Raw genomic sequence first — 22431 nt, 5'->3', positions numbered from 1 at the left:
AAAAAAAGGAACTAAAAAAGTTTAAACTTCTCTTGTTCTCTCTCCTTGCTCCAACTACGTTTTTTTTTTTTTCTTTTTCAGATGGAGTCTCGCTCTGTTGCCCAGGCTGGAGTGCAATGGCGCGATCTTGGCTTGGTGCAACCTCCGCCTCCCGGGTTCAAACGATTCTCCTGCCTCAGCTTCCTGACACGTGCCTGCCACCATGCCCGGCCAATTTTTGCATTTTTAGTAGAGACGGGGTTTGACCATGCTCGCCAGGCTGGACTCGAACTCCTGACCTCAGGCGATCCACCTGCCTCGGCCTCCCAAAGTGCTGGGATTACAGGTGTGAGCCACGGCACTCAGCCTCTCCAACTACTTTTTTTTGTTCTTTGTCTACCCATTAGATTGCAAACACCATAAAAGCAGAGACTCATTTTGTTCTCCTCCTGTACAAGCAGCACCAAGCACCACACTTTACATTTTAGAGGCACTAAAGTATTTTGATATTTAATCTTGGACCATATTACAGTTTCTATTCACATATCTTTTCATTGACACAATTTTAATACATTCTACTGATGAATGTATACGTAAAATGTGGTATATATCTACACAATGGTTTATTATTTGGTAATAAAAAGTAGTAAGTATTGATACATCCTACAACATGGATGAACCTTGAAAATATTATGTTAAGTGAAAAAAAAACTCAGTCGAAAAGGACCATATATTGTATGGTTACATGTATATGACATGTCCAGAATAGATGATCTACACAGGCAGCAAGTAGATTAGTGGTTGCTTAGGGCTGGGGGTGATGGGCAGACTGGGGAACAATGGCTAAAAGGCACACGGGCTTCTTTTGAGGGTAATGTAAATATTCAAAAATTGTGTCAGGTGAGAAATAATTTGGCCAAAAAAATTTTAAACTTAAAATTTTAATTGATTGTGCTGATGATGGCACAACTATAAATATACTAAAAGCCATTAAATTGTATACTTAAATGAATGAATTTCAAGGTATGTAGATTATATCTCAATAAAGCTGTTTTTAAAAACAAAAACAAAACAAAAAAACTTAAGAGCTCTGCTAGAATTTTTAATAGAAGGCCCGATATATGTAGTCGACTATCTGTGTCTATGTAAAGTCCTTTATGTAGTAAAGTACTACACATTTGCAGCCACAGGTATGGCGCTGAAAACCATTTCATTTGGCCGGGAGCGGTGGCTCACGCCTGTAATCCCAGCACTTTGGGAAGCTGAGGCGGGTGGATCACAAGGTCAGGAGATCGAGACCATCCTGGCTAACACGGTGAAATCCCGTCTCTACCAAAAATACAAAACAAATTAGCCAGGCGTGGTGGCGGGCGCCTGTAGTCCCAGTTACTCGGGAAGCTGAGGCAGGAGAATGGCGTGAACCCGGGACGCGGAGCTTGCAGTAAGCAGAGATTGTGCCACTGCACTCCAGCCTGGGCAACAGAGCGAGACTCCATCTTAAAAAAAAGAAAACCATTTCATTTTAGAATTTCCTAATCTTCTATTAAAACTAAACTCAATTGACAATCTTGTATTTGTCTAATAAAGGTTCCCAAACAACTACTTTATGATATACAAAAGAAATCACCAGCAATTTCATCCCAATGCTGAGCTTTTTTAGGTTAAGAGTGGCTTAGTGAGAGAAAATGCTCAAGACCAGTCAACCCTGGCTCCTTCTCTGCTGTGCTCTCAAGGGTCATTCTGGGGTCATCGCTCCCCTAGAAGCCTTCCCTGCCCCTCAGATCAGGCTCGGAGCCCTCCTTTGGGTTCCTATATCACCCTGCACACACCTCTCCACCCTGGCATTTCTTGAAGCAAACTATTTTTCCCCTCCATTAAATGATGAAATCATTAATCAAATAAATTAATGAACATACATAAATCACCTTTGTATTCTTAGCACCTAGCACTGTACCAGCACCCAAAAAGGCCTAACAAAATTTGTAAAGTTAAACTTACAGTGTGAATTTGAACCTGTCTGACTTACATAAGTCCCAGTTTTCTCCTTATCAAAGAATAATGCCACCCAGTCTTAACTACCCCATAGAGAAGTGAGAAACAAACTAGAAAATATAACGAAAGGCACTTTGAAAAAATGATGCATTATACATACACGGTGTTTCATCATAAAGTACCCTATGTAAAATATTAGCCGTTATTTTACGGGTCTTCCTATGTAGCTTAATTTTGTTACAGAAACTTTGATACTTCTGGATCTAAGAAGGCATGAGAGGTAAGAATGCCATGAAAGAACAAATATGTCTAAATTAACTGTTTATCATTACATACCTTTTTGTTAACTATTACATGCAAAATAGCATTTTTTAAAACTCAACAGCAATTAATGCTAAATTACTCAGTAGAGTAGCAAAGAATATAACTGCTACACAGGTTATTTTTACAGCCCACTTTCCTGTCTCTGTGTTCTGAAATGACTTAGAATCGCAGGCTAAAATTCTATATTTAAAAAGAAAGAAAGAAAAAGAAAAAGAAATTCATGACCTAAATGTTGCCACCACACCTCATAAATACAGCACCTTCTGCCGCTAAAGCCTTTTACACGTTTAAGAGCCCTACGTGTTCTTGACAGAAACCATACTCAAGCAGCTCAATTTAGAACATGCTGACCTTAAGCAAATCAATGCCCTTAGCACGTACTTCTGGCTTGTATCACTGCAAGAGTTAGACAGCCTCACCATCTATAGTAGTCAACAATTTCTGGCCACTGTCCCCTGTCTATTTTAAGATATCCCTACTACACTTCTGTGTTGCACAAAGAAATAGAATACACATAAACCTGAGTTTAAACACAAATCGTTTACCTCAGAAATCAGGATATGTGCATTCCTACTGTGCTTTGCTCAAAAATATTTAATTTGGTTAGTTTCCACTTCCTGCTTTCATTTATGAAATAAAAAATATTTTAACAAAAATTGAAAAATCAAGTATAAGACACTTTAGCTTACTGCCTTATCAGATTTATAAGTAACCTAGTCATAAACTAGGCCAGAATTGGCAGGGTCCCAAATAAAGTACAAACAAATACTTAAACAGAGTAGTGGTATCTGCCATTTTCATGCAAAATTACACTAGATATTAAAACAGTACCTGATTAAGGACTACAATATATTTTCACTGATATACCTGAATACTTACTAACTCTTCTAACTCTTGGATCTAAATGACATAAAATCTATTTTTAGTTTTTTATCGAGGCAACATCAACCAAAATGCCTGCACTAGTCTTTGTTTACAAATAAGAGCCTCTTATTTTTCACTCTAAACCCAGAGCCTGTAATTTAGCATAGCAATTGTATAGCTTCTGAACGTCGGGTAAATTATTTACCTGAAATTTATATATAAACACAAATTAGAAACTACTAACTGTATTTAGCAATTATTCATAGATTTGTTCATTCCTAATACAAAGGCTAGTATTTGTGCAAAGGCCTAATGCTAGAAACCAGTATCATAAAATATTCAGCATTTTAGATTGCTTTTTAAAGGATTTCCTTCATTCCCTTGAAAGATTTAGTAAACCGACAGACATTCTCAAGTATTAAAAAAAAAAAAGACTTTTTTTTTTAACTCTAGTGGAAAAAGATTTCAAATAAAGAAAATGAGGTAATTCTGATATGCAGAATAATGCAGGACCCAAATGAAGTGAAGTCATTTACTAGCAAGTGAACTAAATATAGGGCCCAAGCAGCTGAAGCCTGGGAGTTTATATAATATGCTAGCTCACTACTAAAAGCTCTCAAGACAGAATCCATAGAGTACCAAGGGAAAGAAAAAAACAAAAACTACTATTCTTCTCATACTGTTAAATAAGATTTTACAATTTTTTTCCAGAAAAAAATTAAAAGCTAATCTTGTATATTGAAAAAAAAATCTTTTGCGGAGCACAGATATCTAATAAATCTAATTATGTGATACTAAGCAAGAGCTACTACCCTGCAACAGCAAATTTAAAATTTTAAATGATCTGAAAAGTTTTAATGGTATCTAGCACTCTACTACTAAAACCCATACAATCAAGAATATACTAAGATACATAGCCAAAAGAATGAAAGTCTATCAAAGAGATATCTACAATCCAGTGTTTACTGCACGACTATTCACAATAGGCAAGATTTGGAATGAACCTAAGTGTCCCATCAACAGATGAATGGATAAAGAAAATGTGATACATATATACACAATGGATACAAAGAATGAGATCCTGTCAATTGCAACAACATGGATGGAACTGAAGGACATTATGTTACGTGAAATAAGCCAGGCACAGAAAGACAAAACTTCACAATGTTCTCGCTCATATGTGGGAGCTAAAAATTAAAACAATTGAACTCATGGAGATAGAGTAGAATGATGGTTACCAGAGTCTAGGAAGGGTAGTAGATGGGGGTAGGGAGTAGAGATGATTAAGGGGTCCAACTAAATAGTTAGAATGAATAATATGTAGTATTTGATAGCACAACAGAGTGACCACAGTCAAAAATAATTTATTGTTCATTTAACAATAAGTAAAGGAGTCTAACTGGAATGTTTGTAACACAAAGAAATGACAAATGCTTGAAGCAATGGATAGTCCATTTACCCTGATGTGATTATTATGTACTGTATGCCTATATCAAAATATCTCAAATACCTCATAAATATATATACCTACTATGGACCCATAAAAATAAAAATGTTTTTAAAAAAAGAATATACTAAAGGTATATCAGGCTGTTATTTCTAATTCCTAATACACACTTTATTTTTTTTTCAGAGGGTCTCACTCGGTCACTCAGGCTGGAGTGCAGTGGCATTATCATAGCTCACTGTAGCCTCTAACACCTGGGCTCAAGGGATCCTCCTACCTCAGCCTCTTGAATAGCTAAGACTACAGGCATTTACCAACATTCCTGGCTCATTATTTTTTTTCTTTTTTTGGAGAGGCAGGGTCTCGCTCTGTTGCCCAGGCTGATCTTAAACTCGTGGCCTAAAGCGATCCTCCCACTTCCCAAAGTGCTGGGATTGCAGGTGTCAGCCACCAAGCCCAGCTCAAATACATATTTTAATAAGCTTTACTAACACTAAGTGACATAAATGGGCAATTCTTTCTGATAACCTACTGGTAGGGCATGTATTTAGAGATGATTTGTGTAAGAGTTAATTAATTTCTCCTTTATTTTATACTGGGCACTATAGCATATACTTGCAAGAAGGGTAATCAGGTACAGTGAAAGGCAAATGCAGTATCAGAATATACTCCTTGGTGGGTCTAAATTTATATCCCCCATGTTCTAACCATTTCTAACAATAAACTGCATGAATGACCAATATTGGCAGATCCTGTATTTGTCTGTATTTGATGGCAGGTCCATCATGTTGGACCTCGTAGGGCTTAGCAAATACCAAGAACATAAATTCACTCAGGCTTATATGAAAATAATTTAAGCTCAAAGTTATCAAACTATGAATTCAAAGCCATTTTACACTCCAGAATGAGTTTTCAGTATTCTGAATCTTGGTAATCATTAGTTAGCCTCTCATACTATCTATTGCACTTCAGGCTAGTGTTACATTGTAGCACTTTATCAATACTTACATGGGCATTATTTTCTTCTTTAACTTCCCCCAAGAAGCAAGACCAAAATAGCATTACCCATAGCATATATGTGGATAGAACATAATAAAACTGGTTATGATCAGGTGACCTAAAGAGTCACGGGAGCCAAAGAAGTATATTTGTGTTTTGTTTTGTTTTTTTGAGACAGAGTTTTGCTCTTGTGGCCCAGGCTGGAGTGCAATGGCATGATCTCGGCTCACTGCAACCTCCATCTCCTGGGTTCAAGTGATTCTCCTGCCTCAGCCTCCCAAGTTGCTGGGATTATAGACACCCACCACCACACCCAGCTAATTTTTGTTATTTTTAGTAGAGATGGGGGTTTCGCCATGTTGGCCAGGCTGGTCTTGAACTCCTAACCTCAGGTCATCCACCCGCCTCAGCCTCCCTAAGTGCAGGGATTACAGGCATGAGCCACTGCACCCGGCTGTATATCTGAATCTTAAAATCATTAATCAGAATAACTTTCTGAATCCTTATACAGGTTGAGCATCTCAAATCCAAATATCTGAAACTTTTTGGGCATTGACATGACACTCAAAGGAAACGAATTTTCAAATTTGGGGGTGCTTAACTAGTTGGCAGTGCAAATATTCCAAAATCCGGAAAAATCTGGAATCCAAAACACTTCTGGCCCCAAAAGTTTCAGATAAGGGCTACTCAAACCTGTATATAATTTTTCTAAATGTTCAGTTACATATGATTGATTATATCTTTAATAAACTATTTCTCTCAAGTGCTAAAATGCCCAATGATATATACAAAGATTAATGTAAATACTTTCCAACATTTAAAGACTTCTGTTTGATCATTATTAATCACCTATCATTCCTTCAAGTCTTCCATTAAAAATAAAAATAACCAGATGTCTTTGGCATGGAACTTTGCAGTGGAGATTTCTATCCTGCTTGGGTAGATTTTATGTCTTGATTTTTTTTAATCTCTTTAAAACGAACCTAAATTGATCCTCTCTTGATTTCCTTATTTAACTGAAGTGGTCTCTTCTACCACAAACACACACAAAAGTATTTCATTTAGCAGAAATTTCACATTAATAAACAACCAAAAAGTATGGAGTTGTTACCTACCTGTAGTACCGAGATTGTAGATATGTTGAACAAACAGTCTTTGATACATGACTGGCCGACCCAAAGTCTATTACTTTAACCCTGTAAGGCTGCCGAACAGGATCCACCAACATAATATTCTCTGGCTTGAGATCAGCATGAATTAAACCAAGACTTTTCAATTTTTTCAGTGCAGTGGCCACTTGTTGAAGAATGGGCCGAATCACTTTTAGTGGCAGGGGACTAAATTTATTTTGTTTCAGAAAGTCATACAAGTTTTGTTCCAGCATCTCAAAGACTAAACAAGTATGGTTACGGTGCTGAAAGCATTCATAAGCTCGTACAAAGTTATATTCATCAGCATTTTCAGTACTGAGCCTTGCTAATATGCTCACTTCTATTTGACCTTGACGGGCATAAGAAGGATGATTCTTCAAAATTTTGATTGCTACAATTTCATTTGTCCCTCTTTTCCAGCATTTAACTACCTGGCCAAACGTGCCTCGACCAAGAAAATCAAGGACTTCGTAAGTATTTTTCATGGAGCATAAGACTTCATGCTGTACTAACTGATAGTCACCTTCTCCAGTGGTACAATTCTGTTTTGATCCTGTGGTAGCTGTCACAACTGTCACTGGATTTCCCATGTTGGTTTGCAACATTGCAGGAAGTATGGACAATTCATCGACAATCTGCATTGCGCTGCTATGATTATCCAACTCCTCACTCTTGCGCTTCAATCCACATCGCTGGGGGCCTTCTAGGAAATGCAATCTGTTTCGCCACGCCCCAATCTGAGGTGCCTGCACGTGAGCTTGCTGTGCCTGAGCTGCTATGACCTTTGTAGCACCTGCAGTGTTTTTCAAAACAACAGCACTTGTCTGCAATGAAAAGTTGTGTCCTCGAGGTCTATTAAATGGTATCTTTGTCTGAAAAGCACTACCCTTAGTGGGAGGATGAGAATTTCCAAAGTTTCTACCATTCACATAGGTCCGTGGATAGTTTCTTTCCTGGAATACACAACTGCTTGGCTCTACTTTGAGTTTCTTCACACTACAAAAGGCACTTGACTGAGTTTGATAAACATATGGTGGGTAGACCAAGACTTGTGAGGCCATACCTGCAAAAAAAAAAAAAAAAAGGAAAAGAAAAAAAAGGAAAGAAGAAATATTAATGTCAACAATTTTTTTTTCAATTTTAAATATCAGGAAGAAAACTCTTAAGGGTCAAATTCACAATTTGTAAAAAAGTAATTAATTTCCATGAAGATGATTTTTTCCCTTGGAGAAGATAACTATCTTTATAATATCTCCATTTCAGTTAATTGGTGCTTCAGCTATTCTGAGTATTGCGTTAAAAGGCTAAGAATAAAGAATCAAGTGCATTTAATTACTTAACAAATATTTACTGAGAAGCTGAAATGGCCAATATGCCCTAGAAACGGTGCCAACATTTTCCCTCAAAAGAAAAGTATAGATCCCTGTAATCCTAGCACTTTGAGAGGCTGAGGCAGTTGGATCACTTGAGGTCAGGAGTCCAAGACCAGCCTGGCCAACACGGTGAAGAAATCCCAACTCTACTAATAATGCAAAAATTAGCTGGGGATGGTGGTGCATGCCTGTGGTCCCAGCTACTCGGGAGGCTGAGGGAGGAGAATCGCTTGAACCTGGGAGGTGGAGGTTGCAGTGAGCCGAGATTGCACCACTGCACTTCAGCCTGTGAGACAGAGCAAGACTCTGTCTCAAAAAAAAAGTACAGATCCTTTAACTGTACACATTTGACAAAAGTAAAACATTCTATTACCAAATTCAAATGTATGAACCAATGACAAGAAAAGAAAATATACATTATATAAACATAGTTTATAGCCATATTTCTTAAACCTAAAGCCCAAGAATTGCCTCAGGAGGAAAAAAAATCTATGTCTGCTTTAACTATATATATATATATATATTTTTTTTTTTTGAGACAGAGTTTCGCTATGCCCCACCTATGGCAGGGATTTTAAATAAAATTAGGGTGCCAATTTCATGAATAGCTGATGCTACATTCTATTTACTAAAAATATTATCCTTTGATCTTAAAAAGCATTATATTACAAAGACAAGTTAATGACTTTCTACCCAGTTATATTCATGTTCCCATTCTTCTCAATGTGTACTTTATTATATGGATATTCCTTTAAACTTCCTCCAAATATATTGGAAAATATTTGAAATTTTCAAATCATATTTTCAAATCAAATTTCAAATCATATTTGAAAAACAGATTTAAAATCATTCTAAGGTTCTCAAGGACTAAATGACATTCTATTTATTTTATGCCTGCATCCAAAAAGGATGTGAGTTTATTGAGGCTGAAATAGCCAACATTCTTACCACACAACCATTAAATGTATAATGATTTTATAAACATTATTTGATTCAGATATAACATAGATATGAAAGAGGATCCAGTTTTATTCTGGCATATTTAATATTCTCCCCTATGACCTTATTTTACCAAATTAGAATTTATAAAATATGAAATCAACCTAGCAACTGCTGACCTATCTATAGGAACTCAAAACATATACACACATAAGAATGAATCCTCAGTACCATAGCTAGAAAAACTGATAATTACACAGGTGTTAGATCTGCCTTCCATCTACTTGGTCTGCCACAACAATATATAAACGTGTACGTCAAAACCACCATTTGACAGAATCATCACTTTAAGTAATACTCCATGTTTTCTACTTGCACAAAATTATCTTGGAATTTCCCTAATGGTAAAATCCTAATACAAATGATCAAGTGTAAAAATAAGCTGAGAAGCCAGATACAGGAACTTTGCATTATGTTCTCTTAATGTTTTTCTGCACATCTACCCTTTCTTCTTTTAACAAGGTCTCGCCTAGTCTGCAGTGCAGTGGCACAATCATAGCTCACTGCAGCCTCCAACTCCTGGCCTGAGTGATCCTCTCATCTCAGGCTCCCAAAATGCTGGGATTATAGGCATGAGCCACTGCACCCAGACTCACATCTACTATTGAACACTTTAAAAACTCTTTCAGATTTCAATCAAAGTAAAATAATATCTTCTTGCTGAAGCCTTTCCTGAAACATATAAACTCACCCTCTAGGCAGGGGTTAGCATTCAGTGCTCTCACAGTAGTTCCTAAATTCTTCTCATTTTGCGATTACAACATTTCATTATATTGTAATTGTCAGTGTATATATCTGTCTTTCACACTAGATCTAAAGCAAAGTGCCAAGGATATAGAGTTGGTGTTCAATAAATGTTGGCTTGTTGGTTGGTTGAAATATCTTCATTTTCTACAATTTAAAAATCTGTATTATATTAACTATGTGGTCTCCTACTCTTATAACAAATCACAAACATCAGTTCTTTAACTCAGAATCCACAGATTACCATCAATCTGTAATATCGATATTAAAAATGAGAGCAACTACCTACTGAGCACTTACTATGCAACAGTTTAACACTTTATTTACAATATTTTATCTAATCATAGCAATATCTTTCCAATTTGCTTTTAAGAAAACTAAAGTTGGCCAGGCACGGTGGCTCATGCCTGTATTCCCAGCACTTTGGGAGGCCGAGGCGGGCAGATCACTTGAGGTCAGGAACTCGAGACCAGCCTGGCCAACATGGTGAAACCCCTTCTCTACTAAAAATACAAAAATCAGCCAGGTGTGGTGGTGCACACCTATAATCCTAGCCACTGGAGAGGCTGAGGCACAAGAATCGCTTGAACCCAGGAGGCAGAGGTTGCAGTGAGCCGAGATCGCGCCACTGTACTTCAGCCTGGGCAACAGAGCGAGGCTCCGTCTCCAAAAGAAAAAAAAAAAAAGAAAACTGAAGTTTACCAAGACTAGGTAACTGGCCCATAGTCAATAGCTAAGGTATGGTACAAGGAACAAGTAAACGTACCACCTTTCAGATAAAAGGTGCAAATTTATACCTCCTATAGCTTCCTACAAGTTTTCTTGTGCACAGTCTACCACATTCCTAAGTTGACTTGACCTTAATAAATCTGCTACAAAACCTTACTAGACAAATTAAGACTTGATGTTCACTCTGTAAGAGAAAATTATAAATTGAAATTCCGGAGTTCCGCTGGGCGCGGTGGGTCACGCCTGTAATCCCAGCACTTTGGCAGGCCGAGGTGGGCGGATCACGAGGTCAGGAGATCCAGACCATCCTGGCTAACACGGTGAAACCCCGTCTCCACTAAAAATACAAAAAATTAGCCGGGAGTGGTGGCAAGTGCTTATAGTCCCAGCTACTCGGGAGGCTGAGGCAGGAGAATGGCGTGAACCCGGGAGGTAGAGGTTGCAGTGAGCAGAGATCGCGCCACTGCACTCCTTCCTGGGCGGCAGAGGGAGACTCCGTCTCAAAAAAAAAAAAAAGAAATTCTGGAGTTCCAAACATCTCATTGGCATCTACTGACATCTATTCCATACCTTTACTCAGAAAAGATTTTGAAACTCCATCAACTGATTGTTCTTTTAATGAAGAAAAAACACACTGAAAACTCCGGCTATATGTATCAAACTCATCCATTAAGGCACTTTTGTGAGGCTTCCAATCTTATCTGCAATAGTTTTTCTAAGAGACTAGGTCTCACTGTATTGCCCACGCTGGTCTTGAATTCCTGTTCTCAAATGATCCTCATACCTCAGCCTCCCAAGTAATCTCAAATAGACTATAGGTTCGAACCACTACACCCTACTCGATAATTTAACATTGCCATGATTCTCCTAATTTACAAACCACTTCTGTAACCCATACCCATAGACTCAGAAAAAGAGATGATTAAATTCACAGATAATTTTTTTTTTTTGATACAGTCTCGCTCTATTGCCCAGGCTGGAGTGCAGTGGCGTGATTTCAGCTCACTGCAATCTCCACCTTCCAAGTTCAAGTAATTCTCCTGCCTCAGCTTCCCGAGTGGCTGGGATTACAGGCACCTGCCACCACACCCAGCTAATGTTTTGTATTTTTAGTAGAGACAGGGTTTTGTCATGTTGGCCAAGCTGGTCTCGAACTCCTGGCCTCAAGTAATCCACCCACCTTGGCCTCCCAAAGTGCTGAGATTACAGGCATGAGCCATGGCACCCGGCCCAATTTTTTTTCTTTTTTTTTGAGACAGTCTTTGTTGCCCAGACTAAAGTGCAATGGCACAAACATGGCTTGCTGCAGCTTCGACCTCCTGAGCTCAAACGATCCTCCCACCTCAGCCTCCCAAGTAGCTGAGACCACAGATATGTGCCACCATGCCCAGCTAATTTTTAAATTTTGTAGAGATGGGGTCTTGCCATATTGCCCAGGCTGGTCTCGAACTCCTGGGTTCAAGCAATCCTCCTCCTGACTTGGCCTCCCAAAGTGCTGAAATTACAGACATGAGCCACTGAGCTTGGCCAACAGATAAATTTTAAAACAGCTATTATACACTTGTGGATTTAAAGGAAAGCATGAGAGAGACATGAAAAATATAGAAGAACAGTACACCATACATATACAGATGGTGGGAAGGCAATCTGGCAATATTTAACAAAATTGCAAATGAACATATCCTCTGACCTAGAAATGCAGGCAACTCAAGACAATATAAAAGAATATTCACTGCAGCACTGTGTAAAGCAACCTAATACTGTAAATAACCTACATATCCATCAAAAGGTACTAAACAGACCTTGACACATGGACCAATTTAAAAAGAATGAAAACAACTTATTTGCCTTGCTATTCACCTGATTCTGAATACTGCTACCTGAAAAAAAGCAAGATTTCAAAAAATGTATACTTTACAATAGATATTACCATGTGTGTTTAATTAAAAAGAGGAATTATATGCATATATTTGCATATGCACTGAATATCTATAGATATATAAAGAAATTGAGGGTTTCTTTGCCTTGGTGAAGAGTAACAATACTGGCAGCAATGAAAAGAATTACTTTTCACTGTACATCCTTTTTTACTACATACATGTATCACCTGTTCCAAGAAAGTTTTTTAATCATCTGTGGAACCTATTAAAACATATGTATCTAAAAATAAAATAATCTGGGATTTGCTTTGAAATAATATAGAAGAGGAAAAAGTGGATGGGGATATGGAGAAAATGAAATGAGTCATAAACTGTTATTTACAGAAGCCTGATGATGGGTATATTGGAGTTCATTATGCTATCCTGTCTACTTTTGAATACGCTTATATTTTTCCTTAATGAAAAGTTAAATAAGGGCCAAGCATAGTGGCTCACACTTGTAAAAACACAAAAATTAGCCAGGTGTGGTGGCGCACGCCTGTAATCCCAGCTACTCGGGAGGCTGAGACAGGAGAATCGCTTGAACCCAGGAGGTGGAGGTTGCAGTGAGCCAAGATCGTGCCACTGCACTCCAGCCTGGGCGACAGAGCAAGACTCTGCCTTAAAAAAAAAAAAAAAAAAAAAAAAAAAAAGTCAAATAAGTAAATATACACATAAAACTCTAATCAGAAAGATTTTGATGTGGTAGGTCTGTGATAAGGTCCAGGCATCTGAAAGTGTACAAGCTCCCAGGGCCATGTAGAGTCACACTAAAATCTGAGAACCAATGATCTCGTCTATACAAAAACCACAGGCAAATTCAAGTCCTACCAAATCAGGGCCCCCAAGTCTGAAAAAACAGGATGAAGTGCCAGGGAATCAGATCAATGCACACCACTCTAGGCTAATTCATGCCATGTTAAATTGTGTGAACAGCTGATAACTGACATAGAGAAATTTTTAAAACTGCTGCAATTTCTGGATCCTGCCATTCCTAGCTTTTCTTTCCCAACATGCCAAGCTGGAAGGCAATCAATCAACCCAGGGCTCCAACCAGGGTTTGGACAAAGTGTCATTATCCCTCACCAGCCAATTCCCAGCCACTATGCTCTGTGAACCTATCTCAAAAGGGACTTTAGAAAATAAACACAGATAGGAATATCATGCAAGTTATAGTTCATCAGAAGGCATAGGTGGTGGTGCTGGAGACAGGTATAAAAGACCATAAGAAAAGACCTATAAATTACTTATTAACTTGACCACTGTGACTCCCTGATATATCCAGGTATTAACTCTTTTCCTTCTCCTACCCTCCATCAGACATACTCACGACTTGCTAGTATCTGGTGTTTATGGATTTTACAAAGTACTATATTCCCAGGAGCTGAAGCCCATGGTCCAAAATACTGTTTTAGTACAATACTATTTCCTATTTTTCATTGCAATGTATACTGTGTTGTCCTCTGCAGCTGTATTATTCATGACCCTGCCAATTGTTCTTATCAACTAAGAAACGATGTTTTGAAATACTACCCCTTTGTGAGCTGGAGCTGTCCATAAAATATTACTCAGAGGATAGTGAAGACTCCTATTAGAGCAACCATTAAGCTTTCATTCCTTAGAATTAATAATTTCAGGTTCTTTAACCTACTATGGTCTGAATGTTTGTGTCCCCCCCACCTCCCCTCAGCTCCCCCAGAATTTGTATGTTGAAACTTAACCGCCAAAAGTGATGGTATTAAGAAGTGGGAACTTTGGGAGGTGTAGATCACGAGGGCTCTATCCTCTGAATGGGATTAGTGCTCTTTTACATAAAAGAGGCCTGAGGTAGCTTGTTCACCCCTTCTACCACGTAAGGATACAGCAAAAGGGCGCCATCTTTGAAGGAGGAGAAAGTGAGCCCTCACCACACACCAAATCTGCTGGCACCTTGATCTTGAACTTAGCCTCCAGAGCTGTGAACAATAAGGTTATGCTCTTTAGAAATTACCCAGTCTAAGGGATTTTATTATTGCAGCCCAAATGGACTACCATATACATCTTATTTTTCCAATCCTCTAACAAACTTTAAGTCGCATCTGAACTACTCTATCCAAACTGTTCACATCTTTTTATAATTACCAAACCAGCAATGTAATCAATATTGACACCCATAGTCATGAGTCTGATCATTGCTAACCATAGTGGGCTGTTTCCATCTTTTTTTACTACACATAATATTAGCCCATCTGAAAAGGGAGGGAGAAAACAGAAACAAATACTTTACCAAGTTATATTCAATTTATTTGCCAATATGAAATTTCTGAATTATTTTTGACCAAACTTACATACACTACATATGTAATAGGGTTCTTCTTCTTCTCTTTTTTTTTTTTTTTTTTTTTTTTGAGACAAAGAGTCTCCCTCTGTTGCCTGCGCTGGAGTGCTGGAGTGCAGTAGCGTGATCACAGCTCACTGCAACCTCCGCCTTCCCAGGTTCAAGTGATTCTCGCGCCTCAGCCTCCCAAGTAGCTGGGATTATAGGCATACACCACCATGTCTGGCTAATTTCTGTATTTTTAGTAGAGATGGGGTTTCGCCATGTTGGCCAGGTTGGTCTCAAATTCCTAGCCTCAAGCCATCCACCCACCTCAGCCTCTCAAGTGTTGGGATTACAAGCATGAGCCACCAGGCCTGACTGGGTTCTTCTTTTAAATGTACTTTGATATCACAAATAAATTAAATAAAAGGTAATAATGCCTTGCACTCTCCTTACTCAACTTACTTCTATTTGTTCAAATCTCCATTTTAAAAATCTTTTCCTTTTTAAAAATTGCGGTAAAAATAAATAAAATTTACTATCTTAAATCATTTTTTTTTTCCTTTTTTGAGACGGAGTCTCGCTCTGTCGCCCAGGCTGGAGTGCAGTGGCACGATCTCTGCTCACTGCAAGCTCCACCTCCCGGGTTCACGCCATTCTCCTGCCTCAGCCTTCCGAGTAGCTGGGACTACAGGCGTCCACCACCACGCCCGGCTAATTTTTCGTATTTTTAGTAGAGACGGAGTTTCACCATGTTAGCCAGGATGGTCTCGATCTCCTGACCTCGTGTATCTTAAATCATTTTAAATGTACTGTTCAGTGACATTAAGTACAGTGAGCATGCTAAAAAAACAAAGAAACCAGCAACACCAAGAAACACAAGTAGGTGCTTCTTGACCAACTACCAAGTCCCTCTCCTATTCCTACTTTGGTCTTTACATGGATCCAGTTATTTCTCACAGTTTTCTCTTTCCTCCCTTATCTCAATCAAACCCTGAGATATGAGTTTATGCTCCTATAAACACAGCCCTTCACATTCTGTCCTCAAAATATTGTCCTTCTTTTCCTTTGACCTATCATCTCTTCCTGATTATTTCCCACCACAGCCTGCCAATATTCTTGGCTAAATTCTAGTTCCTCTTTCTAGTAAAATTATAGATAGAAAATTAACACTTTTCTTACATAGCACAAAATGTATTCATAAAGATTTATAATTTTTATTCCTTTTAGTTTAAAATTAGTTATATTTTTAACAAATTAATCATCAACCTCTGACAGAAAGGAGAGGTTTTCTTTAAAGAAGATGTAAAAAACACACACTCTTAGAAGGGAAAATATGACAAATTTGATTTTACTAAAATTTAAAGCTTTCATTCATCAAATGATACCTGAAATAAAGATAAGCCACTGACATAGAGAAGTTATTTGCAATACACGTAACTGAGAAGAGATCTAAAGAAGTCATATTATGTTTGGTAAAACTGAGTAGACAAATGGACAGAAGATATAAACAGACAATTCACAGACAGGAAATACAAGCCAAGTCTTATTTTATGCCATTTTATAGCCACCAAACTGGCAAAAAGAAGTAGGACAACATCCACTGTTGAAGAATAGGGCAACAGGAACTGTTATACAAGGGTAAGAAGTACAATCACTTTTGAGGGCAAAGCTGAAAATGGACATACTCTATAATCCAGCAATTCTTCTCCCAGGTGTATACTCCATCTAGAGAAATTCTCACAAATATGCACAAAGAAACAGGTAAATTAATGTTCACTGCAGCACTATATGTAGTATCAAAATTTCAGAATAATCTAATTGTCAGAAAAGGACTGGATATTGTGGCTTAGTCATAAAATACAAAGCATGCAGTACAAGTGTGGCTCATATCACAATTATTATATATTTATGTACCACAAAAAAAGAAAATATACCAATTGTTAGGTCAAGACATCATCGATTTTAAGATGCATCCCAATTTCAAAGATGTTAAAATGTTAGGAGGAAATGTGCTAGAACTGATGAAGTGCAGCAAAATGAATTAACTGAAATTACATATATCAACGTACATAAATCTCAAAATATAGAACAAAAAAAGTTGCAGAAGAGCATGTATCATTTATTATAAAGTTAACAGAAGACAAAACTATACCATGTTTTATATGTGGTAAAGGTATAAAAACATGCATGGAAATGACAGACATGTCAAGGAAGAAAAGAGAAGGAAGGGACCTCAAATTTATTTTGCACACTGGATGACAGTTGCATAGGAAGTGATTCTATTACTCCCTATACTTTCATAGCCTGGGTTTACATTAATTTTTAAATAAAGAAGGTAAAAAATCTATCAGAGAATAGGAATAACCTATTTTAGTAATTGTTTATTTTTAAATTACAAAAATACAGCCCTGGCATGGTGATTCACACCTGTAATCCCAGCACTTTGGGAGACCGAGGCTGGTGAATCATTTGAGGTCAGGAGTTTGAGATCAGCCTGGCCAACATGATGAAACCCCGTCTCTACTAAAAATACAAAAATTAGCTGGGTGTAGTGGTGCACACCTGTAATCCAGCTACTCAAGAAGTTGAGGCATGGGAATCACTTGAATCCGGAAGGCAGGGGTTGCTGTGAGCCAAGATCATGCCACTGCACTCCAGCCTGGGCAACAGAGTGAGACTCTATCTCAAAAAAAATAAGAATAATAAAATAAAATAAAATTACAAAAATACGATCATTTTAGATATATTTTATTAACATAACCAATCAGCCATACCTTATTTCATTCAGTTGGTAACCATACCAATTTGGTAACCACACCAAAGTGAAGCAGTCACCTGTTCAGTCCGTACAAGCCTAAAATATTTGCCACGTACCCCAAGAAACTAGCTAGAATCTATCTCAGATATGAACGTGATTGTATATCAACTATATATAATGAATATCCAAAAGTTATTTCATAACATTATTTACCATATTAACACTTAAAATATTATTTATTCATAGGCCCTGTCTCAAAAATATGAAAACAAATCCAAATTGAGGAAGAGTCTATAAAATAATGGCAGTATTCTTCAAAAGGTCAATGTCAAATCAACATAAAGACTGAGGAAGTTTTCAGATCACAGATTAAACTAAAGAGATACAACAACTGAACAGTCTTTACTTTATGCAATTAGTTAGAGTTAAAGGGACATGCCTGCAACTTACTCTCAAAAAATTCAGATAAAAACATAATATAGATACAGAGAAAAAAAGGTAAAAGCAAATGCAGTAAAATGTTAACATTTGAATAATCTAGGTGAAAAATACACAGGAATTCTTTGTATTATTCTTGCAGCTTTTCTGTAGGTCTGAATATTTGTCAAAGGATAAGTTAAACAGAAAACAAGAACGAGTGACAGGTATAAAACAATGTCTTTCTTGAACAAGACTCTTCTTCAAGGGTCACTAACTTGTGGATGAACAGCCAAATATGGTAGGCGTAGCCCAGAGCACCCAAAGTCTAGAATTGCCAGGCATATGAAGAGTCCCTAGGATCATCTGCCAGCACTAATTTTAAAAGTAATCATAAGCAGTGAGGGCAAATTTCTTCATTTAAAAGTATTACTTAATTCATAACAGTTTTTAAAGCTGTTGGTCATTATATAACTTCTTCAATCAATAAAGACTAAAAGTAGAACTTCACTATATGATCCAATAAATTCTGACAATTAAAAGGGCTTTTCATTCTTCAAAGGACAGAACCATAGTGCCAGTCTATGCAAGGCTCTATAAATAGAAATTACAAAATAGAACTATATAACAATATGTAGCCAGTAAAAAGGAGTTTCTAGTCAGTTTATTTCATTTCTCAATTACCTTGTTTAAAGTGCATATTTATAAAAGACAAAACAACATGCCATTTAAAAAAAAAAGGCAGGAGACACTAGACAATAAGTTGGTAGTATGAACAGTAAATGAGTTTAATTCTTCATTGGTTAACTAGGTGTCAATATTTTAAATACCTCTATTATTTTAGAAGATTATTTTTACCAGCATTCAATCCAGGAAATAATACTAAACCATTTCATTGGCTGGGCACAGTGGCTTACACCTGTAATCCCAGCACTTTGGGAGGCTGAGGCGGGCGGATCACGAGGTCAGGAGTTCAAGACCCACCTGACCAGTATGTTGAAACCCCACCTCTACTAAAAATACAAAAATTAGCTAGGCATGGTGGCACGCAACTGCAATCCCAGCTACTCAGGAGGCTGAGGCAGGAGAATCACTTGAGCTCGAGAGGCGGAGGCTGCAGTGACTCAAGATCACGCCACTGCATTCCAGCCTGGGTGACAGAGCAAGACTCCATCTCAAAAAAAAAAAATTGTGTCTACCATTTCATATAAGAAACAACCACCATACATTGTAAAACTTAATAAACTAAACCTGCTGTCTGAGGTGCCTACAGAACATTTATTTTGAAAATACTAAAGTCTTGGGTATTTTCCAGCAGTATTGTGAACAAAGCATCTAGAGAATGTGTTGACTATAACACAAATCAGCATGTTAAATAACAAGCTTCATCTGACTTAGCAAAATGTTCCAACATTTGGAACAGAAAATGACCTGTTGGACATTTCAAAGCTGCTAGAAATCACCCTGCCAGTACAAATCTTTAACAAGGCTAGAAAAGAGCTAATTAATTCAAAAAAATTACACAAGGATTACTCTTACTAAGCAGATAATTCTCTAGATTTTTAAAAGCTATATAAAATAAAAAATCAGAAATGGAAACCCTGACAGAAAGGTTGACTAAAGACAAAAAGTTTACCTGAAGTTCCCTCTTTCTTGATGTAAACTTAAGATTAATAACTCAAATTCAGCTTATATAACTTAAGTACTAAAGAAAAATTTTTACTTAAATTCTTCATACAACGCCCAATATCTACCAATGAGCTATTAGAAAGAGTAAACAGTTTTTTAAGTTTGGGTTATGAACAACTCCCTTAATAGAAAGCCAAATGTATTGCTTTCTACTTTATAGGAAAATCTGTCTCAAAAGAACCACCACAAAACTTTTATTTCTTATGAAAATCTATGTAACTTTCAGACAAAGATAAATACAAAATATTAAAGATTAAGAAGGCAAAGGTCAAATGATTCCTACAAGATCACCTGACATCATCTCCCTTTAAAACAACTCAACAGGTAAACTGGAATCCTAGATTAATAATTTGACCGAATGCCCACTGCTGACAGCAATAAAAAGGAAAAAATCTGCCAACAAATAAGATTTTTGTATGAGATAATGATTCAAAGCTCTAAATGAACATGTAGAGAACCAAAGGTCAGGTTCTATAAAACTTTTCAAAAGTATGGTTTACCTTAAACAACCTTAAGATTCTCATCACTATATTCACACCTGAAAGAGAACTATCACTCTACAGTAATGTAAATCACACAAGAATGAAAATTCTAAAAACCAACAGAATGAGAACAGTGGCTACCATCTCCTTTGCCAGACACATAACAGTTTTTCAGTTGTAAGAGCTGAAAAGATAAATATTTAACTGCATAAGCTTGAGTATAGTACTTTCAGTTATTTACAGCTGCATAAGCTTGAGTATAGTACTTTCAGTTTTTAAAAATCTTTATGAAAGACATTGTGGGGCCTGGAAAAAATAAGTTGAATAGAAAAGTCAACTGTTTCTATTTTCCAAATTCTATTAAGATCCTATAGGGTCCTAATATGCCTTATACTGCTAAATTCAAAGTATTTTTTTAATTTCTACAATTATGTTTTCTTTCTACTCAGGCTGTAGTTGCCAGACATTCCACTTTATATAAATGCCCTTTTTAAGGAATTTTGCAAAGTATTGTCCAAAATCTTCTTTTTTTTTTTTTTTTTTTTTTTTTTGTGGAGACAGAGTCTCACTCTGTCGCCCAGGCTGGAGGTGCAGTGGCGTGATCTCGGCTCACTGCAAGCTCCGCCTCCCAGGTTCACGCCATTCTCCTGCCTCAGCCTCCCGAGTAGCTGGGACTACAGGTGCCCGCCACCACACGCCTGGCTAATTTCTTTTTGTATTGTTAGTACAGACGGGGTTTCACCGTGTTAGCCAGGATGGTCTTGATCTCCTGACCTCGTGATCTGCCCGCCTCGGCCTCCCAAAGTGCTGGGATTACAGGCGTAAGCCACCGCACCCAGCCCAAAGCCTTTCTAATGTGGAAATACTCTTTTTAATTTTCAAAGTTTAACTGTCACTTATATCTTGTCAACTGAGGATGGCCCTTTACAATGGCTTCAGGAAACTCTCTGGTATCAAGTCGGAAACAATAGGGAGGCGTAGGCAGGAGGATCATTTGAGCCCAAGAGTTTAAGATCATCCTGGGCAAGATGGCAAGACCCCATCTCTATTTAAAAAAAAAAATTAGCCAGGCACGGTGACACACACCTATAGTCCCAGCTACTTGGGAGGATGCCTTGAGCCCAGGAGTTTGAGGTTGCTTGGCTGTGATAGTGCCTACCACTGCACTCTAGCCTGGGTGACAAAGCAAGACCTCATCTCGACAGGGGACAGGAGGGAACGGGAGGGGAGGGGAGGAAGAAAGAGGGAGGGAGGGAGGGAAGGAAGGAAGGAGGGAGGGAGGGGGAGGGAGGAGGGAGGGAGGGAGAGAAGGAGGAAAGGCCGAGATTGCACCACTGCACTTCAGCCTCGGCAACAGAATGAGACTTCATCAAAAAGAAAGAAAAAAGAATAAAGGAAAAAGGAAAAGGGAAGGGAAGGGAAAGGAAAAAAGGAAAAAGGAAAGAAAAAAGGAAAAAGGAAAGGAGAAAGATCTCTCTCATTCTTATGACAACTTTGAGGAAGGTGATACAGCAGAAACTTGCAACAGGTCTCCTTAGGAAAGCCAGAAAAACTAAAGAACAGCAATGTAATTTACAAACATCTAAAGAGTTAAGAAAACAAGCAGCTTCTCAAGACAGTACCCACAAAGAAACGACATTGAATTATTATTATTTTTTTTTTTTGGAGACGGAGTCTTACTCTGTCGCCCAGGCTAGAGTGTAGTGGCGCGATCTCGGCTCACTGCAACCTCCACCACCCATGTTCAAGCGATTCTCCTGCCTCAGCCTCCTGAGTAGCTGGGATTACAGGCACCTGCCACCACGCCCAGCTAATCTTTCGAATTTTTAGTAGAGATGGGGTTTCACCATGTTGGCCAGGCTGGTCTCTAACTCCTGATCTCAAGTGATCCACCTGCCTCGGCCTCCCAAAGTGCTGGGATTACAGGCGTGAGCCACTGCACCCGGCCACGACATTGAATTCTTAAAAATCTATTACAACTGCTTCTATCTGGCCCTAACTACATCTAATCATTAACTTTAAGTGACACATTTTTTGAGTTGCTTATAAGCTGTGCATTAAAACCACAAATTTAGATAGACTTAGCAAGGCTACATATTTATTTTTCTTCCACTGAAAGTGTCATAGAAAAACAGATTTTTTCTTTATGTTAGTGTAAAAAGTCACACTATCAATGCATGACACTAAAAACCATACATATCAGAACTATAATGATAATGATAAAAATAGTTTTCTTCATAATTATCTGGCTGAAGAGATTTTT

At 37.8% G+C, this 22431-nt stretch overlaps 1 protein-coding gene across 6 annotated transcripts in view; it reads right to left on the bottom strand.

Annotated features, from left to right (window-relative positions):
- HIPK3 (homeodomain interacting protein kinase 3) overlaps positions 1-22431 on the bottom strand; it is a 100352-nt gene that overhangs the window by 62792 nt on the left and 15129 nt on the right. For all 6 annotated transcript variants that reach the window (NM_001278163.2, NM_005734.5, NM_001048200.3 and 3 more), the window contains exon 2: positions 6721-7819. In NM_001278163.2, the coding sequence (NP_001265092.1) occupies positions 6721-7817 (1097 nt within the window). In that variant the 5' untranslated portion in view covers positions 7818-7819. The remainder of the gene's footprint in view (positions 1-6720; positions 7820-22431) is intronic.

The sequence above is a fragment of the Homo sapiens genome, chromosome 11 (assembly GCF_000001405.40).
Source record: "Homo sapiens chromosome 11, GRCh38.p14 Primary Assembly".
NCBI classification, from domain to species: domain Eukaryota; kingdom Metazoa; phylum Chordata; class Mammalia; order Primates; family Hominidae; genus Homo; species Homo sapiens.
The sequence above is the reverse complement of the archived record's forward strand: the minus strand, read 5'-3'. Positions and strand labels throughout refer to the sequence as shown.